Below are 27,189 nucleotides of genomic sequence, written 5' to 3'. Positions count from 1 at the left end.
ACAGTGAGCTGCATAAGAGACTGGGATTTTAGCCAAACCTACATGGTCTGTAATCCCAGCTCTGCAAGGACTAGAGTTGTTGGAACCTCATCTCATCTTCCTTCTGGAAAACCTTGACAACTCTTCACTGCCTGAAGAATCATGCCCCAGCTACTCTGCATGGCCTTCCTCTGTAATCTTTATCTTCCTCTACAGTTTCCAGCCAGTTTTCCCTTCCAGGCAGTGAAACTACCTCCCTAATTCTTAATTACTGTATCTACAAAAAAGGAGATACTACTATTAATAATAATAGTTATGATGATAGGAGTTCAACAACCACTTAGCAAACAGCAGATCTTATTACTATATAAGAAAGAACAGATGAAGGCCAGGCTTAGAATTTATTTGAGTTGTTAACCTTCTTTTTAATAAGGATGTATTTGCTCTTCCCCCAAAGTTCATAACTCTGAAGAAAATACAATGAGAGCACTCACACTGAAGGATATTTTAAATGGAACATTTTCTTATAAAACATTTTTTCCAAACTGGATTTCAGGTAAGTGCATTATTTATCTTTAGGGGTTTTTTTTATGTATTTTGTTTGGTTTTTATTTTAGTGCCAATACATCTCTATAGTAACTGAAGCCGTATCAGTTGAAATGTACAAAAAGAACAATTATCTGAATGATTCAAGTGCTCAAAAAAGCGCTTTTGACAAAACCATTCATACTGGATTTGCGCCATAGTAATGAGGCCAATAGAGTTTTAAATAGAGAAGGAAAAGTTGAAAATGCATTGTTGAAATAATTTGAACTTCTGTAATCACTTTTGAGAATGGTAGATATATTCCTATTTAGGAGAAGTCACAAAAATTTTACCAAAAGAGAAATTCCATTATTAATCTGGATAATCTGGAAAACAGACAAATCTCAATCTGACAATGAACCCTTTAAGGGTCATGAAATCGGTATTTTCATACAGCTTTTCAAAATAGGATGTTATAAAGCAAATCTAATCAAATAAATAGTGAGATCAACTAAATAGTCTATGACATTTTAGTTGAGTATCTTAAGTGTCACTGAACAAAATGGAATATTTTAATTTTTTCTCTTTAGAAAATAAAATTAATACAAAGTGAGTTTTAAGTTGAACCAAACACAACTTAAATGTAATTTATGTTTATTACTGCAAAAGAAATATACACTTCAAACTAGTTTATCCCCTTTGTAACCCAGAGAAAACAAAATTGTGTTCCTAAGCACCCTGAATCGGCTAAAATAGGGCTGCTGTTTGCAAATGTGGCATCTTTGTGTGAAGTAGAACAAAGCATTCTACCTTCTTCCTCTACCACCAACTTACTATTTTACATATCACAAAGCAATATGTACTGGACAGAGAGGAAAAACAAAGTAGGTCTGTGAAATAGAGAGGTTTCTTTTGTTAGGAATGTATTTCATGTTAAGAGAGATCATTTACATTTTGTTTTCTTTCTTGTTTAAAGGACAAGAATATCTTCATCAATCTGCAGATAACAATATAGTACTTTATAATATTGAAACAGGACAATCATATACCATTTTGAGTAATAGAACCATGGTATGTATCCAACATCATCTTCCCCCTCAGAAACCTTTGCCCACTCTTCATTGACCAAGAAACAGAGTTCAAAGTCTTAGCACCTGATCTGGACACAACTTGCCTTCCCAGCTCCATACTCCACTAGAGTCTTCCCGTTCTGTCTGCTAGTCCCATTAGACTACTGTCTTTGCCTTCTTGTAAATCAACTAGCATCTTTCCTCCTCTTTGAATATAGTATAGCATAAGATAGGAGTTAAGAACTCAGTCCTTAGTGTCAGCCAATTGAGGTTCAAATCCTGGCTCAGTCCCTTACTGGTCGTGAAAGGTTAGGTAAGGGGTTTCACTACAGCAATCTTACTATGCCTCGGTATTTTCCTTGGTAAAGTAGGAATAATAATGCCTCTTTTGGTTAATAAAAGAATTAAATGAAATAACATTTGCAAGTGCTTAGGGCAGTGCCTAACATAGAATAAGTGCTTAATAAGTGGTAGCTATAAAGTATGGGCACTTAACTGTTCTGTCCCACTGGGCTCCCAGTCCTCCAACTTTCTCCACCCTGAAAAACCTACTATTCTTTTGAAACCAAGTTTAGATAATACTCTCTTTCTCTTTGCAATCAATAATCCTCTCATTTGAATTCAATCATTTCTTTCTTAATAATTTTGCAATTGCTATATTGAATCTCTTTTATAGAACATCCTAATTTGTAGTATGTTACTCCTTAGAAAGTTTATGTTTCTTGAAATCACAAAGTATATATTATCTCTTGCATCCTTCTCCCATAGTATCTAGTAAATTTCTTTGAATTATAGTTAAGTTCCACAAAATATTTTTTTCAATTGCATTGAAAGTCTATGCATGTAGGAGTATGTTGATAATATAATATTCTTTTAAAACTACAAATTTACATGGTTCTTTGTTATCTTTTCTGTATTCTAATCAACCTCTTCATAATTTCAGAAAAGTGTGAATGCTTCAAATTACGGCTTATCACCTGATCGGCAATTTGTATATCTAGAAAGTGATTATTCAAAGGTATCAACTATTTAATTTGGTTATATCCAATTGTATCTCCTACTAATCCACAAGGTGGTTTAAAAAAAGTGAGAGAAAGCAAGAGTCTGTCTTTATCTCTAAATATTCAGGCCCTCGTCACCAATAATCTTCAGCATGATATGTTTCAATCTTATGGAGCTTGTTTGTTTTAAGCGTGAAAGTGCTTTAAGGAACAGAGTCCAAAATAATACTTGCATCATTTATTAACAACAGCACAAACATACTTAACAAGAAAACAAAGAGCTTTAAGAAGAATTATAAGCTAAATATTCTTATTTATTTTTCAATTATTATTTTTAAAACTGTACTCAAAGAAAGGCAAGCATTTTGCATCAAAAATACATGTTGAATGAAATTCTCTTTACCCAATTTTAAAGGGTATAATTAGAATGAATTATCCAGATGCAGGGTAATCCTTATAGGCTGTGGAAATCATTGTGGTTTTACTTCAATACAGGTAAAACATGAAAGGAAAATTTCTGGGGTAGAGTATGCAAAGATAAGCTTTTTATGTTAGGAAATTTCTTTGGATATGCTTTTTATGGAGTGAGGGTTGAATCACTGCTGAGATTAGTTCTGGAACTTGCACAAACGGCACAAAAGTCCACAGTAAGACTCTTTAAATGAAGACTCATTTGGAATTGAAACATATTCTTCCTAGTGCCTTGTGAAAGTAGTCCTTTTATAATTCTGAACTTTGAATTGGATGCTATATGATTATACATTATTGATATAAGCTTTTTAACAACTGCAATTTGTTTTTTGTCTTTCTTCTTTCTGACAGCTTTGGAGATACTCTTACACAGCAACATATTACATCTATGACCTTAGCAATGGGTAAATCACCTCTGTTTATTAATACTACTTAAATCTAATACCTAGAATGTTTTCATTCCAAACTATGATTTGGGGTTAAGAAGACTTTATCTTCTTAATGATCTTTGTTTCTTACTTTTTAGTAATACAGTATGTATGTACCCATAAAGCTTACAAAATTCAAGAAAATACTTATATGGGATACCCACCTCTTTATTTGACTAATATTTTATATTTTTATTCACAATATAGTTTTGGATTTTCTGTTTTTGAAGATCAGATTAAACATGTGCTATTTATGGAAAAAACATATATAGGAAAGCACAAAAACATTCTTGGAAATGAGACACTATTTTTAGGAGAGTGGCTATTTCACTGATGGGAGGAGGAAGGGCGGGAGAGAGATGTAGCATTAGTTGTGTCTGAACACGTACTCCATTAACTGTTTTAAAATTAATTATTATAAAAATGACAAAATGTTAACATTATTTTTAAAATAGAAAAATATCTGACGTGTAAAATACTAAATGTTCTTTTGAATTTAGTTGGTAGATAAATTGTCAGACAAGTACCATTTTCCATATATATATATACATATAAACTGTTTGAAACATTTACCATTTAAAAGAAAAAATTAAATGAATGTGCAGATAGGCGAAGCATTGACGAAGAGAATTTCTGGCAGCAAGAAGAATATGTAAAGGCCTAAAATGGGGAGGGAGAGCATTGTGCGTTTGAGAAATGCAAAGTAGGTCAATTTGTTTGAAATTGAGGGAGGGGCCTGCTGACTAGTAGGAGGTGGTGTAAGGTTGGGGAACAGCCAAGGCCAGGAAGCATAGGCCAAATAATAATGAGGAAATAATTAAAATGAGTTTAGATCTTTCTTTCTGATGACAATAAGGATTCATTCAAAGGTTTTAAATGGAAAATGACATGATCAGATTAGCACTTTAGAAAAATCACCCTGGCTAAGTGTGGACAATGAATTGCCTTAGCTACTCATCTTAATATGATATCTTGTTTGCTGTTATATAAAAGGGGAAATAATTATATGGCTTGAAGAGGTATTGAAAAAAAATCTTCTGGTCTATTTCCCCTTTTGTCTAGCAAGAGCACAAAAATTTTTTAAAAAATTATCTATCTACTTCTTTCAAATTTTCAGAAAAGAATTACTCTGATAAACTGTCAAATTAAGAAACAGGAACTGCTTTTTAAAGTAGAATCTAAAATCCATCTAATGCATTCTGAGTCCTTCTTGTCTCCGAATCCATATCATCACCAAATTTAAGAAATATTTATTGAGCCCCTTCTATGTGAAACACATATAACAATGAGATGCAAATGAGCTTGGGGCACCAGCTCTACTCTTAAGAAACGTTCGATTAGTGAGTGGGGAATCTTAGTCTTTCAGTCCAGTTTCTCAAAGCTCTCATCATGTCTTTGTTTTTCTTTTAATCATTTTGAAATTCTTTTGTGAGGCTCGCCAAATTGAACAGCATTCAAAAAGATGATAATCCTAATATTTTAATCATGGGTTATGTAAACTTTATGGCCTAAAATCACATTAAACATTTAGATTCTCTGCAGTGAATTTAATCAAATCACTGGTTTTGTTTGTTTCTTTGTTTTCTGCACAACTATCTAGTATTTCAGATTTTTTGGTGGGGGGGTGGTCAGGTAAATACAGCATAATTTAGGAAGTGAAGGATGGATGGCAAACTTGTTTGAGATTCTAGGCATCGCTGAATACCACCAATTTCAAGTCTTTTATATGCCTTTGAAGACTCTATAAAAATCTAGCATAGAGAAAACAAAACTACTGGTTTCAAGCTAGGTAGGCAAAACTGAGGAGATGAACGCCTTTGTAAAGCATCCTCCCTCGCCTTTTCTCATACCTTTAGTGACTCAGAAAACAGAAAATGGCAGCTGTGATGGCTTGAGACATGCGCTGAGATTTTTAGCTTAGTGCTGCTTGTGTGATTGCATAGATAATTCCACTGTATGTAGAAAACTGAGACAATGTTACAGTATGAAAGGTAACATGAGCACTAGCTTGAGAACAAATTGTGAACCAGGTGAAGAATGTCTTCTTATTTTTTTTTTTGAGACAGGGTCTCGTTCTGTCGCCCAAGCTGGAGTGCAGTGGTGTGATCTCGGCTCACTGCAACCTCCTCCTCCCGGGTTTAAGCAATTCTCCCGCCTCAGCCTCCTAAGTAGCTAGGATTACAGGCTTGTGCCACCACTGCTAATTTTTGTGTTTCTGTGGGGACGGGGTTTCTCCATATTGGCCAGGCTGGTCTCGAACTCCTGGCCTCAAGAAATCCGCCGCCCAAAGTGCTGGGATTACTGGCGTGAGCGAGCCGGCCAGGCCTGGGTCAATCTTTTAACTGGGCTCTTGCATCCCTTTCAACATGTTCCCGATCACCCAGGGGCCTGGTGCTCATGTACTGCCCTCTGGCGGCCAGGACTCTCATTGCAGCACCAATGGTCACTTTCCATGGGAATCACTCTCCCCACTCAAAACTATGCCATGTTCCCTTGCTACTTGCTAGGTCTCATGCAGGCACCTAAAAAGTTACATCAAGGCAGTGTGTGTTACAGATCTTCACAATTGCCCAAATATTAAAAGAATGGGAAAGGCAGAAATGTCAGGCACATGTTAGCTCCAGGTTGGAGAGCTTTTTTTGGAGGGGTTGGGCAGGAGTCTTTTTTGAGGCTCTTCAAATTGTGCTTGGGCGGCAGGTCTTGCTCTGCTTTCCCACGAAGGCAGTCTCGATGAAACTGTTAATACAATCTTCAAGATGACAAAAGTCAAAAAGTAAGCATGACATCCTACGACTCTGCAACACTTATAAAAGTCTGAATGCATTCTTGCTGAAGAACTACAAAAGCTCCACAATGCAAGTCACTTGAGTGCTTGCAGAGTGACTCTAAGCATCAAAGTGAGAGTTTTGGCCAATAGACTATTTGAAATTTCCCCATGGGTGGAGGACTTTACAAGCTTAAGGCATACTGCCCAGTATACAATCCGTTTTTCAGTTTAGCTTGAGATCAGATGTTCCTTTCCTTTTCTGATTTCAAGTCAGATCCCTGGGGAGATTGTCAAATGGCATCTTATTTTCAAAAATTTGAAATGCATATGCATTCACAGAGATGGGGGTTGTGAATGAGAATGTAGAAGAGCACATACTAAACTTCAGCACAATTATAGAATTTCAGAGCTGGAAGGCACTTCAGTGACCATTTCAGTCTAGTGTGTGCAAATTTTACAATCCCAGGGGTTAAAAGGACTTGAGTTTAATTCAAGGTCTGCCAAGAACTAGCAATGTGGTCTTAAAAAGTTCTATCAGCTCTCTAAACCTCATATTTACTTTCTATAAAATGAGAGGACTGTATTAGATAATTTCTAGAGATCTTCTCCACTTTGACAGTCTGTAAGTATTTAATCCATTCACCTCACTATAAAGGTCAGAAAACTGACACCCAGTAAAGTTAAGTGACTTTTAAGTAACTACTGGAAGAACAGCAATCAACACCTATGTCTCCAGTTCTTCATTCCTGCATTCTTTTCATTAGGTTTGTGGGTGCAGAGGGAATGATCCTTAATTTTCATTGTTTGTTTATTTTTTCTGTTCATACAGATTATTATTTTTTTGCATTAAACAGCAAGGTTTGTTGTTTTTCTTTCTTTCTTTCCTTCTAGAGAATTTGTAAGAGGAAATGAGCTTCCTCGTCCAATTCAGTATTTATGCTGGTCGCCTGTTGGGAGTAAATTAGTAAGTGTTTAAATTTTTGAAGTGTTTAATCATGTAAATAAAAGAGGAGCCATTTGATTTTGGCCTTTGTTAAATTTCCCTGCCTGAAAGAAAAAAAAATACATTCATGACTATTTTAGTGGTTAAAAACGGGAAGAGTTTTGATAAATTGAAACCCATCTGAGAATTCCGCAAAATCTCAAGCTCATGGATAGACTTCTTTAAATATAGCAGTCAAAAACTTTATCCTTATACTCAGCCAGAATGCGTTGTGCCAGAAAGCTCAGGAAAAATATGGTTTTCACAAGTTTCCCAGACTAGCTTCAGACAACATGAAATTTGGTCCAAGCTCTTATTTAAGGACTCTAAATAAAGATTAGATCTGGCTAGCTATTAATATTCAGAGATTTATTCGACTTTCTGTCAATATACATAATTATTTATTTGGGGTTAATGAAACAACTAAGAAAATAATAGGCTTTATTTTTTATTTGATTCAGACTTTAAAATTCATAATTGATGTTAATGTGAGTTGGTTGGATTTTTTGACCTATTAAAATGGTATTTTAGTTGTGAATCTTTTTTGTATCTTTATTACCACTCTGTTTAAAGGTATTAGAGGAATAATTAAAACAAATATACAGCCTTCATTTAATTTGTTGTGGAATTTCCCCTTACCACCACTTTTAGGCATATGTCTATCAAAACAATATCTATTTGAAACAAAGACCAGGAGATCCACCTTTTCAAATAACATTTAATGGAAGAGAAAATAAAATATTTAATGGAATCCCAGACTGGGTTTATGAAGGTAAGCTGTATTCCTTTTCTACTGCTAATGCTTTAGGCTTTTAATTTAAAATAATTTCATATATTTAGTAAGATTTAGATGAGTAGTATCTTATTTCCATGAAGGGTAGCATTGCTGAAAATTGTCTCTAGGTTACGAATAGGGCATACGTATTTTAAAAGAACAAATTCTTGTTATCAGAAAACTGGTAGAATTGATTCTCAATAACATCACTATGAAGTGGTAGTAATGATTTATAATCCAAAAAAGTATATGGTCCTCAGGTGCCGCATTAGTACATTTTCTCATGTTTACTTTTTCTTTAGAAATTTTTTTTTTTCAAAACTAAACAACTGACTATGTTATCTTATGGGAACATATTTTTACTTTCTGATACTCTGTTGATTTTGTTCTCATTCTAGGTCATGTAGAATTCAGGACTTAATTGGACTTTAAAGAGACTTCTAGTCTCTATCTATTTATCTATCTATCTATCTATCTATCTATCTATCTATCTATCTAAACTAACTGTGTTTTTGGTTTTTTTTAACTCTTAGGAGGGAAATGTAACTTTCAATGTTTATGTCACTCTCTAGTACAATTATAGTTCTTTCTGTTTTGGCTATCTTAGGTGACTAAAAAACCTGAAACTGCCCTGAAAGAAAAAATTAATTAGTGCCAACATGTTTATTATTTATTTAAAAAATTACATTTCTGATTAATGTCATTTTCTAACAAGGCTAATTGATGTTTGATATAGAGTGAAAGGGTAAACTATTCCTCTTAACTCAGATTATGTAATTTTTTAATAACCAAAGTATGACATATGTCACATCCACATTAAATAAATTATTTCAGTTGATAAATAGCTATTTAGAAGTATTTACAATGATTTTAAGAGTAAGATGTAATTATAGTTAATATCCTAGTACTTATTTTTCAGAGGAAATGCTTGCTACAAAATATGCTCTCTGGTGGTCTCCTAATGGAAAATTTTTGGCATATGCGGAATTTAATGATACGGATATACCAGTTATTGCCTATTCCTATTATGGCGATGAACAATATCCTAGAACAATAAATATTCCATACCCAAAGGTATGTTGAATACTTTCAGCGATGCTTTCATTTTCCTGGTATCAAAATGAGCAATGATTTACCATGAGTAAAGGTGGGATCAACAAGTTTGGAGAGCTTCTTATCCTTGAGCATTGTAAGGCAAACATTGTACTGTGCTCTATTATTTATGTGGACATCTGTTGCTTTGGACATCTGGTTGTGCTGGATGAAGTAGTCTTTGCAAAATCTATTGCAGAATCTTTGAAAAACATATGGTCTTGATCATGGAGGAAAAACAAGCTTAACTTAATTTTAATTTTTTTCATATTTCATGCTCCAAATTCAGGGTAAAGTTCTGTTTTGCAATTCTCTCTTGAATTCTCATGTAAATGCAAACTAGAATATGAAATACAAATGCTGAATTTGATGTTCCTGTCAGGTAGAAGCAGGCATGGGTTATGGTCCTTTCTGGATGTACAAGATAGGTTAAATTTATAAGTCTCAATTTCTCCCTTGAAGGAAGTAGACATGGTGTGAACCCATAGTTTTTGGATATTTAACATTGTAGAGTTGTTATACATTCTTTTTATTGAGTTTCACATCTGGAGGGAGGAGACCTGAGTGTGCAGTAGGAGAATGGTCAGGTCTCAGTGAAGAAGCATTATATCCTAATTTCAATGTAAAAATGATATCAGAAAAAATGGAATCAAAGTACAAATTTACCTCTTGCACAAGGAATCGGATGCGATTTTAGAATTCACTTCTTTGTTCTTTGGATGCTATTGCTTTTACTTGCCAAGGGGAATATTGTCGTGGCTGGACACAGTGGGTCCCTGGGTGACAAAGACGGTTGGATGTGGTATACACACAAGTGAATTCTAAGCAAGCCAAAGTGGCCATAGAGAAAGAAATAGAATTGCAGACAGTGTAATATTTATGTTAAAAGTCTAAAAGCTGTGTAAAAACTCTAAAAGCTGGAGATGTTTGGGACAGGCCTCACATTTTGGGGGAACCCAAGATGTAAAAGAACTCAGATCTTTGGGAGGACCTATGGGAGCAGGAAGAGACGGGGAACCCAGAACTGAAGAGTGACTGACACTGATTGGGAAGTTGGGACCCACATTCTCATATTTCCTTGAGGCTTAAGGTTGCTAAAACATCTGGCGTTAGGTGGAGACGTGAGACCATCCCAAAAACTAAGGGAGTTTCTGATAAACTTGGGAGTGAAACGGAGGTCCTAAGAGACGTTGAACAGTTCTTTGGATGAATTCAAACAGCACTGAGTCATTACATACTGTGCACCTACATTTCATGAATTTAAATTTTATTACAACTCCAAGATTCTCTCTTTCTACAGCAAAATAACAGAGGAACTCTAAGAAACTGTCTAGGTATGAGCTATACTGTCATGTAAATTTTAAGCATACAGTAGTATAGAAAGCACAAAACAAGAAAAGTATAAATCTCATGGATACTTCATTTGGAGGTGAAATTTCCCTAACCTTTTGGAGATGGTGGCAGTAATAATGCAAGCAGGTAGGAGACTGAGCATTTGGTGATTGTCCTAGACCAAATCATATGGCAAAAGCAAAAAGTGTCTTTCATTTATTTTTCTTTCCATTCTCCTCTCAAATTAATCACCCTCTGAACTCTCCTTGGTATACAGATTATTATAATTATCCCAATAATAAAAATGAGAGAGATCTGTCTTGGAAATCAGAAAACAGAATATGGTTCACAGAACTGCATTTTCATATCCAAAATGATTTTCCCTATAAATTTTAAAGCTCTCTCATTAGGCAGTTAAAACACATAGTTTTGCTCTGGTTGACACAACATTTGTAATTGCCCTGCAGGTAAAATTGAAATGAGATTCCTTGTCGTGTTATAAATAGAATGTATTCCACAGTGATATACATAAGATTGTTCGCTTAGAAAAATATATCTAAATTCCTAAAGTTTCTTTAAAATGTTGGTGATAATTGGAATTTTATGAGCTTATATATCTCAATTTTCTTGGCAGGCTGGAGCTAAGAATCCCGTTGTTCGGATATTTATTATCGATACCACTTACCCTGCGTATGTAGGTCCCCAGGAAGTGCCTGTTCCAGCAATGATAGCCTCAAGGTAGTTCATCTCAGATCCCTCCCATCTTTCTATCCTATATTCTAGTGCATTTATGCTGTGCATGCTAGAAGCAAAAACAAATAAGTAGATAAGAGTTGCACACAAAGCTAAAGACATACAAAATTAAAATTGACAAATAAGTTTCCTTAATTGGTTTTTCAAAATTAGCCCTTTTACACATATAAACGTGACCTCGGTGATCAATCTCAGTGAAACTTGCCTCAGATGTACAGATGTGAACTTGGGACCAACAAGCAGACAGTAAAATTCATGTACGTCCTCACCCTGGCTTCTTTCAAGTTTGGCTGACTTTATCTCAAGCCAGGGTTTGTGGATCTATGTGGATCACATGTGTATGATAAATAAGAGAAGATAAGCTGACCCTCTCCAAAAATTAGCATTTTTCACAATGAAGCAGGCTATTCTCATTTATCTGGTTTTAGAATTGTCTAGAGATGAACTGTAGGCAGGCAGGGACGTGAAGGATTCTCACTTCCCCAGCATGATGCCCTATGTCTGATTGTCTGACTAGTCCAGAATACAGTGACCTTCAGTCAGTCCTCTGTGGTCTTTCTGGTTGAAGTGGCTAAGGGGAAGAGGTGCCCAGGCCCTGCCTGTTGGGCTTTCTTAACAGTTCCCCATGCCTAGCGGGCCAATCTTGGGTCTTCCCCTTCTGCTTCACGAAGAAGAGCCAAGCTCAAATGACTGATCACTAATAGGGAAAAGAACCCCATGAGAGGCTTCTACTGGGCCTTGCTGAGTCCACTCTTGTATAATCAAACATGACTTTATATTTTTGAATTATCTGCTATTCCCCACCCTGATCGAGTCGATGAAAACTTGACTCAATACATCATTTTTTTTTAAAGTGTCATTCTCCACAGGTGGCAGATGAAATGAGCATAACACAAGGAGTCCAGAGGCTTGTTTGAACAGCTGTAAAATACTAACAATAAAATAGTAGTAGCAAACGTATTCTGAACACTCATCATGTAGCAGACATAGTTCTTAAGCGGTTTAAGCACGCGGCCAATCTTTACAGCACTCTTTAAAATAGGTAATATTATTATTCTGATTTTATATAAAAATAGAAGAGTTAAGTAACTGGCCTAAAGGTATATAACTATTAGGACATAAAGCCAGGATTTGAGCCTGAGGTCCCTTCCAGCTTTGTGATTTCCTTTACATTAATTTTCCAGAAGTTTGTGATTCATTTTATGTTGATGTTCTCTACCTACTAGTTCATGCTCAGAGTCATGGAATCATCGTTGCCATTCACTGACATCTAGTATGTGCCAAACATTATTTGAGTTATTTCGCATACATCATCTGTGATTTATTCCACAAGTCTGAATTTCAATACCTGACCACAGTCACAGCTAAAACTTAGCTTCCAACATGAATCTGCTGAGAGACAAAGATTATCCTTTTATCACACTTGTCTCTCTCTCAACTAATTATAAGGTGAAAAATTGAGTTTACTTGTGCAAAATGCAAGTTTAATGCTTTTTTTCCCCTCTAGATTGATCAGTAGCTTTGACATTATGTTTTAAATTCTTTTCTAAAATGTTAAAATCCAGAAACGGGGAGAAAACTCACATATGAAATGATTTCATTAGATGAAGAAACTCTCATAGATATTTTTTTAAGTAAGTAGAGATATTTAAACTTTCTCTCCAGAGAAAGGAATGTTTTGTCTTGCTTACCTATTAAATAAGTAATGTATAATAATGACATATATCCTTTAGAAAACAAAAATTAAGAAATTATTTGTGTGTGAAACTGGTTTATGGTTGTGACTACCTGTTTCTATTTTATTTGCAGTGATTATTATTTCAGTTGGCTCACGTGGGTTACTGATGAACGAGTATGTTTGCAGTGGCTAAAAAGAGTCCAGAATGTTTCGGTCCTGTCTATATGTGACTTCAGGGAAGACTGGCAGACATGGGATTGTCCAAAGGTAGGGTATATTAAGATCACAGATACGTATTTCTGAAGATCAAGGCACAATAGTGGGGACTCATCCATAGCTAACATTTTATGTTGTAAAGCCAGGATTACTGCATTCAACTGCCAACTGCTTTGCAAAAACACACTCAGTATTCATGGGTCCATCATTTTATTAAATAAATAGGATACCTTTTATTTTCTTGAATGACGTAAACCTTGAAATTGAATAGCCAAAAAGAAAAAATGGGACAACATGACATTGGGAAAATCAGATATCTGGTTCTCAATTATAATGGTAAACCAGCCCTTTGAGATTATAACATTGGCAGTCCAATAAAAAGCAAAATAATGCAGATGAAACCGAAACATGGGTCTACTAGATAAATATATATGTTTTAAACAAAAGAACCAGAGAAGAAATGCAAATGGGGCATGTTCTATTCAATGTTAAAAATTAAAAATTAAAAATTCTAAAGGAAATGGATATTATCAAAAGAAAGCCAGATATTCTGTTTTTTTTTTTGTTTGTTTTTTGTTTTTTTTGTTTGTTTTTTTGTTTTTTGTTTTTTTTTTGAGATGGCGTCTCGCTCTGTCGCCAGGCTGGAGTGCAGTGGCGCAATCTGGACTCACTGCAACCTCCGTCTCCCAGGTTCAGGCGATTCTCCTGCCTCAGTCTCCTGAGTAGCTGGGACTACAGGTGTGCACCACTAGGCCCAGCTAATTTTTTTATTTTTAGTAGACACGGGGTTTCACCATGTTGGCCAGGATGGTCTCAATCTCTTGACCTCATGATCCACCCGCCTCAGCCTCCCAAAGTACTGGGATTACAGGCATGAGCCACTGCACCCAGCCCAAATATTTTTATTTTAAAATCAAATGAGAATTACTGAGAATGTGACATAAGATATTAGATCAAATTATTCTGTTACCTGGTTATCTTAGGACAGTACCCGACATGTACTAATTTTGGGCAGAAAAAGCCTTTAAAACTAAGCACAGATTTATTGTTGAGTTTTAATTGTTTCTATTACTCAAACTCAAACATAATCTGTTGAATTAATGAGTCAGAAAAACCACTTAACCAATGTATAAGCTTTAAAATAAGCCTGTTCTTAATTACTCACATTAGAATCTAAGAGATACAAAATATTTTCTTTAAATAGGATATTTGATGGGTACATTTTGTGAGTCTTCTAATTATGAAGAAATGTTTCATTAAAACAAATATAGAATAATCATATTTTATAAAGTAAAAAGAAAAGCACAGAACAAACAAAGTAAATCACTAAATTTCATCTAGAAATTAGGACATTATGTTTTGCAAGAAAAAAGTCATATGAGTCTGTTTGGAAATATATCAGGACTATAATAGTCAACATTACTCAGGCTAAAAATATTTCTTTAAATCACTACTGTGTCTGTGAGAGGCTCGACTAATTTTGATGGAATATGCTAGAAGCGTATTTTTATCTTATATATATTTTGATATACAAAGCAGGATGATTTTGGCTTTAATACAGTATCATAGGCAAAGAAAGGATAGACTAATCTTGATTATGCTAGTTAATTAGAAACAATTGGTCTGGTTAGTCAGCTTTGGGTGACTATATCTTTAAACTTTTCAATGAATCTAGCTATTAGGGACTATTGCTTTAATTTTATTAGTTTGAACATAATGAGATTTATAATTTAGACACAATTTTTAGCTCCTAAAACTAGGAATTTTAAAACTGTGATTGCTTTGAAATCTGAAATTCTAATTTATCAAAATCTGAGACAACTTTAATCCAAACTGACAGAACATTTAAGATGCTCATTCAATGAGGTGTGGAAGTCCCTGGAATATAAACTTTAGTTTTACAGCCAGAAAACAGTGCTTAAATTTAGAATATCATGTTTGAATAACCTTAGAATTTCTAAACACCTCTGTTTCAAAATAGTTTGATAAATACATGCAACACATTTTGAGATTTGAGAACAACAGTGTCGAATTTCCCAGAAACCATCCTCATGACTGATGTGTGTGTGTGTGTGCGCACACACTTTGAAAACAATATTTAAGGTTAAGTGACCCGGCAACATTTTATTCATGCTGAGAGTCATGCCCCAAACAAAGAGGCAAAGGAAACTGGCAAAAATGACTTGTAATAAAATTATATTAGTGAGATTTATTAAGAAATTTATAGTTAGGGGAAGAAACATCTTTTATATTATGCTTCCTCCTCTGAAAAGGGAATTAAAATTAATTTTACTTTTATGGCTAAAAATAATAAATCCAAAAATTTCACTATTTTTTCCGAGTCTTATCTTACTTGTTCTCTCTGAGGCATTGGTCTATCCCTGTAAGAGAAAATCCAGACTGTGTTCTTAAAATTTGTTATTCCCCTGCCTTTTATGACAGTACACCCTCTCATGGTTCTCCTTCTGCTTCATTGACTGTTCTTTTCCTTTCCAGCTCTTCTTCTGACTTCTCTAGAAATCTTATTATTCTCCAAGTTAATGTATTTGCAAGGTAGGCTAACTGCTATAACAACAACATAAAAACCTCCAATAATTCAGTGGGTTAATACAGTAGAAATTTATTGCACATTCATGTAACCATCCAATAGTGAGTCCAGGTAAGTGGGGTATGGTGGGGGTTGGGGAATGGTGCACTCTGCTTCATATAGTCATTCGGGAACCTAGGTGATGGCATTTCTGCTAACTAGCTTCCAACACTATTCCAAAGTTGGTCAAACCTGAGCATCAACATCCAGCTGAGGGATGGAGAAAAGAATGAAGGGTAATGTAAGAGAGGCTTTTATGGGCTAGGCCTAAAAGTAGCATGAGTTATTTCTGTTCACACACCATTGACTAGAACTTATCAAATAACCACGGTCAACTGAAGGAAGGCTGGGAAATACATTTCCTGCCCGTATCCCTAGCAAAAAGAGGAAATGGTCTGCTGATTATCCTGCTGTCTGTCTCAACTCTGTACTTACTCACTTTGGGTAATTTTAATCTATACCAGAGCTTTTTGGTATACTTGCCAATAACTCTCAGACTTATTTCTGAGGATTTGAACTTTTCAATATGTGTGGCTTCATTTTCTCTGTTCTATTCTCACTGCCATGAGCTTGATTAGAGTCTTTATCATTCTTTTCCCAAACATTATAATAGCCTTCCAGTTGGTCTCTCTGCCTCCTTCCCTCTTACCCACTTCTAGTATATCCTCTGCATCATGTTCATAATTATATGTTCCAAATTGTGAATTGGAAGACCTTCAAAAGACTTACCAAACAGGAGAAATTGAAACTTCTTAGGGTGCCATAAAGTTTCTCCAAAATCTTGCTCATAAACATGCATTCTCCTTCATCTTCTAACTCTTTCCTGTAGTCACTCTCCACTCAGCCATACTGAACCATCTGTTGGGTGACTAAGCAGGTCTGGTCTCTATGCTATTTATTTTACCTAGAATGTTCTTCTTTTTCTAATTATTTGTCTAGAAAAGTCTATTCATTCTTTTAGGATTACTAAATGTTTGTTCAGTAAATGATCAATTACATTATGCTAAAATATAACCCAAAATAAGATTCAGTGCAAATTTTAAAATTTTAGCTACTTCATAGGACCCAGAAAAGAAAGAATTTAACTCAAACTCCACTGTTTTACCTACACCACATCAAGTGGATTGTGCTGGGCCTCCATAGATGTTGTGATAATTCCAAGTCACTGCCTCATGGAAGATTTAGGCATAATTATTAAGGATCTGCAATAAAATTACCCATGTATATACAACAGTGCTGTTATATGAGATTTTTAATATTGTCCTTTTAAACTCAAATTTGAAGTTAGTTGACTAGTAATGGTATACTCTGATCAGGCAGCTTAACTGTTTCCAAATGTCCAGATTACATTTAGGAAAAAAATGTTCTCCTAATACTATGTTCGATGTGATCTTTTGTCTTTTAGACCCAGGAGCATATAGAAGAAAGCAGAACTGGATGGGCTGGTGGAGTATGATTTTGCTATCTTTTTCTTATGTTTTAATGAAACTTGACAGATTCTCAGCTATCAAAGGACTATTTGCAATGTACCCAAACTGGCACTACTTATTTTCATAGAAAAAGTAGCAAGGTATAAAACACATAGGTAGTGATCTCTTGAGTGATTTTGTGCCGGACAATTTCAATGTCCTTTTTAGAATTCTATTGAAAATAACTCATACTCCTCATGTCCCAATTTTAAGTTTGTCAACTGAATCCTTGGTATCTATAACTAATATTACTTTTTAAACAAATACAATATAGATCATTGTTCAAAAGGAGACAAAATCCCTGATCTGTTAAAATCATCTTAATAATTACTAGCCATTTAAATCCAAAAAAAAATACATTGGGTATCCTTGTAATTTAAAGACAATCTACCTCTTATTAAATTTCATATAACATGTACTAAATTTCATGTATGTATACTCCTTCCAGTATTTAAGTAATGATTTGGTATCAAATAGGAAAATGTGTGTTTGTTACTTGTGATCATTTATATTTGGAAGTTTAGGATAGGTTTATTCAATAATTTATGAGGATTTTTAATGTAAAATAACGCTTGAGGTAAATAGCAATTGTATTTTATATCGTATATGAAGAATAAAAATTAATACAAGAGAATAAGTGAAGGTTGGTAGATGCTGCCACTTACCACAAACACATAATTCAATTCAATTAGTATTTGAAGAGGAAAGGCTACTTCTCTAAGATTTGGACGCATTATGCAATGAAAAAGGAAACTCTTAGGACCTGGTTTAACACATTAGCCCATGATCCAAGGACAAAAAAAAGTCAGAAATCGATTCTAAGATGATAAATTATATAAAAATTTAAACTCAAATTGGCTGGGAAGAAGATAAACTGTAAAGTGATAATCTTCAAATATTAAAAACTCTTCATTGTACACTTTTCTGGATCCAGTTGATTTTGGCTTACATGCTGTTTAATTTATACTCTGCCGTTAATTAAAGATACTGCAGTTTTATTCATTAACTAGGGAATAGTTACTTTATTTATTATATACAATAAATGTAAATTACACTCTGAGGTAACAAGATAATAAAGATAAGTATGTAATTCAGAAAAAAAAAAAAACCCTCCTATTTGAACTCACTTTTCCTACTGTCCTAAATATCACAGGAAAAAAAGAGTAGTAGTATTCAGTGAAAGAAAAGTATTCTCTAAATTTTATGTATTCTTAATCAATCTGAATCTCACCTTTCAGAAAGGTAATTCTTAGATCGGTATTTGAAATTTTGAGGAAAAAAAATCTACCAATTCACTCCCATTACAAATATTTCTAGTAAAGAACGAAGGGAAGAAAGAATGCTTGAAAATATTATTTAGTCATGTTCTCCAAGATGATACTATAACTAGATTTACTATACAGTTATATGAATAATGTACTTTTATATCAACAATGATACCAACAACCCTTTCAAAGACATTATCTTGAGCATCTATAAACATTTATTTTGACAATGCTGCAGTGTTCAAAACACTGAAACACTTTAGAATGCATCTTTTGAAAGCTCATATTTATAAGCATCTTCAGTATCTTAATAATTTAAAAAATCTGTATTGCACTAAACTTGCATTCCCATCAAATTGAGCTGAATGAATGAATGAATTGCCTGCAAAGCTTTAGACCTTTTTTTTTTTTTTAAGACGGAATCTCACTCTGTTGCCAGGCTGGAGTGCAGTGGCGCGATCTCGGCTCACTGCAAGCTCCGCCTCCCGGGTTCAAGCGATTCTCCTGCCTCAGCCTCCTTAGTAGCCGGGATTGCAGGCGCCCACCATCACGCCCAGCTAATTTTTGTATTTTTAATAGAGACGGGGTTTCACCGTGTTAGCCAAGATGGTCTCAATCTCTTGACCTCGTGATCCGCCTGCCTCGGCCTCCCAAAGAGTTGGGATTACAGGCATGAGCCACCGCCCCTGGCCCAGCTGTAGAACTTTTTTAAAAAACACCCTCAGTGTCAGGAGATCGAGACCATCCTGGCTAACACTGTGAAACCCCGTCTACTAAAAATACAAAAAAATTAGCCGGGCATGGTGGCGGGCGCCTGTAGTCCCAGCTACTCAGGAGGCTGAGGCAAGAGAATGGCGTGAACCTGGGAGGCGGAGCTTGCAGTGAGCAGAGATCGCGCCACTGCACTCTGGCTTGGGCGACAGAGCGAGACTCTGTCTCAAAAAAAAAAAAAATGCCCTCAGTGGAGGCACATATGTCTCCTTTGAGAGAAGATGAGGTCCTTACATTAAATCAAAAATCATTCCCAACTAAATGGCATGAGCCACCGCGCCCAGCCCAGCTGTAGAACTTTTTTAAAAAAATACCCTCAGTTGAGGCACATACCTCTCCTTTGGGAGAAGATGAGGTCCTTATATTAAATCAAAAGTCATTCCCAACTAAATCTAGAGAGTAAATGAGTTACTTATCTGGGACATGTGATTTTGTGCCAGATCATTTTAATATTCATAGTTTTATAATTCTATTGGGAACAACTTATTTTTATGTACTAATCTCAATCTCTTAACATGTATTCAGTAGTCAGTAAAACTTCTAAATTCCAGAAGAGAAATTATCAAAAATTATTTGCAATGATTGTTTTCAAGAGTCAGTTTACACTCTCCCAAGGCACCTGCTTTAAATGGATTATTAATTAGCTTTTGTAAGTTCTGACATGCCTTTTGAAAAAGTCTGGCCACAATTTTATATAGCCATAACTCATATTTCATAATATATTGTATATTTAATAGCTTCCTTTGACCTATAATGAAACTAGTGACTTAATAAAATTAACCAGAAAAAACTAGAAATGTGTATGTATTTCAGACATTCATTCAAGTAACATTTATAGGGTCTTTAGATAAAGTATACAAGCTAGTCGTATTAGTATAAATTTTAAAAGCTATTTTTGATATATGGTTTCTTTTGAGTTTGTCAGAGATATTTAAAATGGAAAAAGACTCTCAGAAATCACCTATGAATTAGAAAAGGGAGATTAAATGACTTGCTAAAAGTAAATGATCTGTTAGTTGCAGGCACAGAACTAGAAAATAGGTTTCCTGCGAACTTTACTTACCACTTTTTTCCTCCAGCACTGACACATCCAGTCCTTTAAGTTAGGATTAATAACCTAACTTCTTTTTTGGTATTAATCAGAAAAAATAACAAAATTGCTTTTAAAACATGTTTGTTTTGTTTTGCTCTGTAGAGGACAGAAAAGTGAAGAGTTAATCAAAGGAAACTAGTGCTTCATTCCTTAAATTTGGAGAACAAGCACTGAAGGCATCATGCTTAGACTGCAAAGTCACATCAATTATTTTAAAATAATTTAAGCAACACACTACACCGTCTTTAGGCGGCTGGCAAAATCCCTTGGTTCAAAAAAAAATGAATTTTCTTCTTGATGCTTGAAAGCTTGTGCTTTTGACCGAATGTGCACTCAGTTTAGGGCATCCGCTTTAGGTCATTTAACAGCTATGGCAAGATATTACATGGCGGTAAATAATGTCACCTTCCAGGTAAAATATTTTAAATGGCTTTGCACTTCATATAGAGATGAGTAATCTATCAGAAAATCTAAGCATAATAAAGAAACCAGTGTAAGGGCCTCATTAAAACTGAGGACAACTTGGTGTGGGTGCTTATCTAGGGTCCAGGTGTGACTTGCAAGAAGCACTTAACTCAGAACACTTTATGGGCCTAACTCTAGCAAAATGAATGTGGACATATTTCACACTCTCTTTACCTCACCCAAGTTACCTGTTCATCTAAAGCAGCTGTCTTCAATGTGTGCAATGAAAGGGGAGAAGATAACAGTCTTTGCTTATCAGAAATATTCTTCCTGTTTGCCTGATTCTAATATCTTAAAACATAACACTCTGCCCTGTTTTTTTTATTTTCAATAAAAATGAGATGCTAAGTTTTAATCTAGAACAAAGCCCTTTAAAAAGTCCCTTATCTAACTGACTGCAGCTTGCAGACAATTTTTCTTTTTACTGTGGTACCTTAAAAATGTTGTGATTCAGGTTTTATTTTAGTGATTAAGGCAATGTAGAACCAATTTTTGTGTTTCACAATGAGGAATAAGAAGGAGACATAGGCCGGGTACAGTGGCTCACACCTTAATCCTAGCACTTTGGGAGGCCAAGGCGGGTGGATCACCTGAGGTCAGGAGTTCGAGACCAGCCTGACCAACATGGTGAAACCTCATCTCTACTAAAAATATAAAACTAGCCGGGGGTGGTGGTGCATGCCTGTAATCCCAGCTACTTGGGAGGCTGAGGCAGGAGAATCACTTGTGCCCGGGCGACAGAGGTTGTGATGAGCCAAGACCACGCTATTTGCACTCCAGCCTGGGCAACAAGAACGAAACTCCATAAAAAATAAAAAAATAAAAAAAAGGGAGACATTATAAGAGGTTACTATTAAGTATGTATATTATCATTTAGCTAAGAGGGTGAAACTTCATTCTGAAATGAAAGAAGGATTTTGTCAAAGACTTATAGTAATAAAATTTTACCCACAAAATTGTTAATCAGAGTTTCCTATTCCTGGGCCTCTTGGTTATTAATTTCACTTGGAAGCATTAGTCTCAATATGCAAAATCCTACCAAGGTTGGTCTTATTATTAATGAAACTAATGTAGGAATCATGTAGAGGCAGCTGTTTCTCATTATTCCATTTTTTCATTTTAAAGAAAACTTTAGACAAGTTAAAAGTAGTAGAGTTTATTTGAACAAAAACAATTCATAAATCAGGCAGCACTCAGAACCAGAAGATGTTCTGAGAGTTCTGCCCAGCAATGTGAGCAGCCACCTTTTATAGGCCAAACGCAGAAGCAAGGTAGATAAACCACTGGTTGGCTACACTAGGAGTCGGCCTCATTGGGTCATAGAGTGATGAGGCATCTACCTTATTTGGATGTGGTGTGATATGATGGCTGCCTATGATTGGCTGAAACCCTTTTGCTGGACTCGTAGTTAGGTTTTGGTTTGTATATGTACTAAGGTTGTGTTTCATTATATAGGAACTCAAATTATAGAGACAGCCTCAGGTTAATGGCCTTCTGCTTATTTGATTTGACTGATTTATTGATTCTAGGTAAATGTGGTGAGACTTAGGGCACTGTATTAGTTTCCTAGGGCTGCTATAAGTTATGGCAAACTTTGTGGCTTAAAACAACAGAAATTTATTCTCTCGCCATTCTGAAAGCTGGAAGTCGGAAATCATGGTGTCAGCAGAGTCGTGCTCCCTATGAAGACTCAAGAGAAGAATCCTCCCTGTCTCTTCCAGCTTCTCATGGCTCCTAGAAATCCCTGAGCATTGTTTGTTTAACAGCCGTATCACTTTAATCCCTGCTTCTGTCTTCACATAGTCTTCTTCCCTGTATCTCTCAGTGTCTCTTTGTGTCCTCCCCACCTATGAGGACAGCAGTCATTAGAGTTAGGGCCCTCTTTAATACACATCTTTACTTTCTCCCTTGATTACATCTGCGAAGACCCCATTTCCAAAAGGGTCACATTCTGTGGCTCCACGTGGACATGAATTTTTGGGGAACTCAGTCCACTAAAGACATCACATCAAATTAGTTGCATTTTAATGTCACACAGTTATAATTATTTCATGAGAAATAATGATCGGTTGCATCAAAAAGGCATCAAATATGAGGTCATCATTAAAGGAGCCTACAGTGACTTCCTCCACTCTTTTCTTGCTCTACAATGGGTCTCACATTAGGTCTCACCAGGATAGGTCTTTGTAGCTAAAAGATACTAGTAGCTTTTTGTTGTTGTTGCTTGATGCAGTTCTCATGTGGAGGGACACCAACTAGAGAGAGCTGGCTTTAAATCTGCTCTGCATGATGTAGAGTAGCTCTTTCCTCATGGAATTCTTTTAATGATTTGCCATCATTTCACCAAACAATGACCAATGGGGAAAAAAAGTCAGCAAATGTAAGACAAGTCAATTAATTTTTTAATGGGAAAAATACGAAACTATTTTCTAAAATTTGGTGTAAGAACATTTGCAGAATTTCAGTTATATCTATCATTTAGAATGTTGAGGTGTGGCTTGTTCTGTTTCAAGGCACACTAAAGAGCCTAGCGTACCTTAGGTAGTTAATTGGTTCCCAGCAAGTTCTGCATGGGGTTACCTGTTAGAGGTCAAACCAGGGCATTGAGGTCAGTCTGCAGTCGGCTTCCTGTGCTCAAGGAGTAAACCTCCCCCAACATAGGCAACTTTTTTCTCTCAAGTCCAGAAGCCCCTCCTCACCATTAAAAACTGTGGCTAGCAAGCCATGATCTTTTCATCTTTTAAATGTCTTCATTGAATCATTGATATTGCATGCTTGGCATCAGACAAATCAAGAATTAAAAGAGGTATAGTCAATGAGCATCAGACTTTGGTCAAATACCTCATTTTAGGTTTGGTTTCGTTAAATATCAACATGCGTTTGTGATTCTTTTAACTCCGTTTCAAACCACATAACCTTCGACTTAGGAATTTAATCAAATTAAGCATTGTAAATCCAGGGGTATGCAGTAGCAGCCAAGCAGTGGTCGGAATGTTCAAGTGCCTGTCAGAATCACTACATAAGCTGTTTATCTGAAAGAATGGGATTTCAGATGTGAATGACAGAAGACAGAGGAGGCGAGACATTCTGATTCCTATAACTATGACCATACGTCGCTTTTATATATTAAAACAAAATCTATGGTTTTAGTTTGGTTTGTCTTTTGAACATAACCTCTGCTAATTTTTTTCAGTTCTTTGTTTCAACACCAGTTTTCAGCTATGATGCCATTTCGTACTACAAAATATTTAGTGACAAGGATGGCTACAAACATATTCACTATATCAAAGACACTGTGGTACGTTCCTTCCAAGATTTATCTCCTCAAAGATCATTCACTTGAGGTTGCTCAAATAACGCTCAGTTTCACACAACATAATGTTTGTCTTTTTATAGGAAAATGCTATTCAAATTACAAGTGGCAAGTGGGAGGCCATAAATATATTCAGAGTAACACAGGATTCACTGTAAGTATTGCACGAAGCACGATGCACCATTCAGGTTTTAATTGGCACCGATGGACATAAATGATACTGTACCAACTCTCTTAGTTAAGAAGATTTTTGTTACTCTATAATTCAGACAGTTGTGAGTTCATTTACGATTGCACATTTTTAATAACTAGTCAAAATGATTTCCTTTTGGAAAAAAGCCTTCAGTAGGTGATAATTTCTCTTCTGATATTTGGTAGGCAATTATATAAAAAGTATACAAATTTTAAGATAATAACTCGTTCTAAAGGCAAATTTTACCCTTCAGCACTTGAAGCAATGAACAAGTTTCAAAATTCCCTGGAGGGCAGCCCATAGATATGGAGCATCTTTTGTAGTGATTCATTGTTATATAAGTTTAACATTATTATTTATAACAACTGTCATTTATGGAGCAATTACTGTGTACCAGATACTGTAAAGTAGAAATGATTATCCTAAGTTTGCAGATGAGAAAAGGGATACTCATAAAATTTAATTAACTTGGCCAAAGGCCACAGTTAGTTAGTAGCAGACTAGGATTCAATCCTAAAGCATTAAATCTAAGGCTGTTATTATCAACCTGAACATGGGACTGCTTTCTTACAGTTCTTTCCTCTTCAGTCCATTCTGCATACTATTTAAATAAACCATCTTCAAATAATCATTTATGATAAAACTGATCTAATCACAAAAGTATACTTTCTTTCTATAATTTCTAATACAGTCTGCATCTAGGGATCCTCTCTTAGTGCTGAAAATCTGCCAGCTATTAGCTGAAATTCTAGGAGCAAAAAGATGAGGACCATTAGTCCAGGCTCATGGAATAAAAGCCTGTCGGAAATCTATTACGAATCTTTGGAATTCTTTGAATGGAGGGCAAAGGTGTTTGGACTTTCTTTGGAGCAGTCATTAAAATCACTAGAGTAAAGGGGAGTGACATGTTCAAAACAGGTGGGAGATTCATTTCAGGCATGATGTGTTGAGGAGGTGGGGAAAAACTGAAGGCGGAGGTCCCTAGCTCTGGTCATAAGAGGCCTGAACTAGAAGAGTGGCAATGTAATAGATGCTCTGAGGACAAAACTGCACCTCCTTCTTTGTTTGCGTCCTTAGCACTTAGCACAGCGCCTGACACAGAGTAGTTCAATACACATTCTCTAAATGGAAGAGAGAACAGAGTAGATGGTAAAAACAGATGGAGGCTAAACAGGACTGGTGAAGGGAGACTGTCAGGAAAAAGAGAGAGAAAAGAGACAAACTGGACCTGGCTGCAAGGGTTAGAGAGGGAGACAATCAGGGAAGCTTCCACATAACAAGGAAGTGGCCGGGGGCTGTTGGGGAAAGATCCTGAGTCCTTTATTCACAGATAGTTTTAGATGATGTGGGGAGGGCAAGGAAAAGGGATGATGGGAGTCATGCAAAGTTATAAAGATGCATAGAAAGGTGTTAGTTTAGGAAATAAATTTCGTGCTAAAAACGAGTTGTATTCCATTGCTTTTTTCTTCTACTTGGTGCTAATAAGATTTTCATGATACCTGGGACATAGTGAGAACTGGACTGCCTAATTGTCCTAAGAATTCAACCAAACTTCGGTTATCCCAAACTTTTCACATTCGTGGGGGAAAAATAATGACAGTTTCTGATACTCAGATGAACATACAGCAGAGTGAAAACCATGTCATGAAACTGAATTTCCCACTTCATGGCTATTTTAAGACAGGTTGGAATCAGAACCTGGATACTTAAGTAAAAGCATGTTCTCTTATGACTTCTTTTGCATCTGGCTAAATTGACATGCCCTGTGTGTGGTATCCAGTGTGATATCCTCAATTTGTAGCAAACCCATCTATTGACAGGGCTTCTATAAAATAAATTCAAGGTGTGTTCAGAATCCCAGATAAAATTAAATAACGTAGTACAGAGAAACAGGTAAACTGTTCTTAATCATAAAAAAGTCAAGGTATGATATTAATAAAATTTCCTAGTTGATTTTGCATGACTCATAATGAATCAGAATATAATATAATAAAAACAGTATTCAGCATAATTTAATCTTCCTCTGATGATTTGGAAGCCAGGATAAATGTGCAAAGTTCAGTTATGAACAGCAGTTATTTGTGTACTTAAGCACCAATTAATTGTTTCATTAGATAAATGCTTACCTATATTGATACTATATTAGTATTAATACTAACAATCCTATTATCACTTATTTATCAATACTTAATAATTTCTGAATATATTTTCAGGTTTTATTCTAGCAATGAATTTGAAGAATACCCTGGAAGAAGAAACATCTACAGGTAATTTATGTCCATTCATTCTGGTATTTCTATGTGTTGATATTTTAATATAAAAAGTCATCATCCCCAGGAGATGCAAAATATTTTTAAAGTATGGCACATAATAAAAATCATTTATGAATTTAGAGAAAACATTTGGAGAATGGGTATAAAAAACACACACTCGCAAAATGTTAGCCAATTCAAAATATTTGTTTTCAAAAGGAAAAAACAAGAAATTCTAATGTTTACATGAATACTAAATACTATTCTGGTACTAAACACTTTAAGTACATATAGAGGTAATTGAGGACATTTCTTTATTTAACACACATTTGTTGAGTACCTAGTATGAACCAGGCATTGTTTTTATTCTGATAATATGTGATTTCCTTCACTCTGTCTCACTTTGGCACCACCCATGTCTGTTCCTATATTAGTGTTTACATTCAGTCCAGTTGTTCCCTTGAGGACTGAAATGGTGCCCTCGACAGCCCTTTCTGGGTGTGGAAAGGAAAGCAATAGTTACTACATGCTGGTAGTCTATTATATGCCAGGCACCTTTTAATCTGACTTACATATGTAATTTCATTTAATTCCAACAGCACTATGAAGCAGGTAATGTTGTTGGAGCCAGGATTTGTACCTGGGCATGCTGATCTCTGAGCCCTTGCTGTTAACTGCCTCCCTAATGTTTCCAAAGTTCCACCCGAATAGG

At 35.5% G+C, this 27,189-nt stretch overlaps 1 protein-coding gene across 7 annotated transcripts in view, besides 1 other annotated feature; it reads left to right on the top strand.

Annotated features, from left to right (window-relative positions):
- The window catches only part of FAP (fibroblast activation protein alpha), a 72,762-nt gene that overhangs the window by 16,388 nt on the left and 29,185 nt on the right, over nucleotides 1-27,189 (top strand). For 6 of the 7 annotated variants that reach the window (XR_001738668.3, XR_922891.3, NM_004460.5 and 3 more), the window contains 13 exons: nucleotides 437-535; nucleotides 1,481-1,575; nucleotides 2,518-2,592; nucleotides 3,398-3,450; nucleotides 7,133-7,205; nucleotides 7,875-7,995; nucleotides 8,918-9,072; nucleotides 11,057-11,160; nucleotides 12,985-13,120; nucleotides 17,062-17,106; nucleotides 23,913-24,017; nucleotides 24,116-24,186; nucleotides 26,439-26,492. Coding sequence is in view for 5 of the 7 variants with exons in the window: in NM_004460.5 (NP_004451.2) it covers nucleotides 437-535; nucleotides 1,481-1,575; nucleotides 2,518-2,592; nucleotides 3,398-3,450; nucleotides 7,133-7,205; nucleotides 7,875-7,995; nucleotides 8,918-9,072; nucleotides 11,057-11,160; nucleotides 12,985-13,120; nucleotides 17,062-17,106; nucleotides 23,913-24,017; nucleotides 24,116-24,186; nucleotides 26,439-26,492 (1,186 nt within the window). In the remaining 2 variants the exon portion in view is untranslated. The remainder of the gene's footprint in view (nucleotides 1-436; nucleotides 536-1,480; nucleotides 1,576-2,517; nucleotides 2,593-3,397; nucleotides 3,451-7,132; nucleotides 7,206-7,874; nucleotides 7,996-8,917; nucleotides 9,073-11,056; nucleotides 11,161-12,984; nucleotides 13,121-17,061; nucleotides 17,107-23,912; nucleotides 24,018-24,115; nucleotides 24,187-26,438; nucleotides 26,493-27,189) is intronic. The other variant, NM_001291807.3, reaches the window with a different exon arrangement.
- Nucleotides 12,777-12,946: an enhancer, noted in NCBI's record as "experimental_55025 CRE fragment used in MPRA reporter constructs". NCBI's record gives its function as "activates a minimal promoter by MPRAs in K562 erythroleukemia cells, with activity observed for the introgressed 2:163070707 variant allele {active_cell/tissue: K562}" and the evidence as "EXISTENCE:reporter gene assay evidence [ECO:0000049][PMID:34662402]".

The sequence above is a fragment of the Homo sapiens genome, chromosome 2 (assembly GCF_000001405.40).
Source record: "Homo sapiens chromosome 2, GRCh38.p14 Primary Assembly".
Lineage (NCBI taxonomy): Eukaryota > Metazoa > Chordata > Mammalia > Primates > Hominidae > Homo > Homo sapiens.
This window is presented reverse-complemented; position numbering and strand designations above follow the sequence as displayed.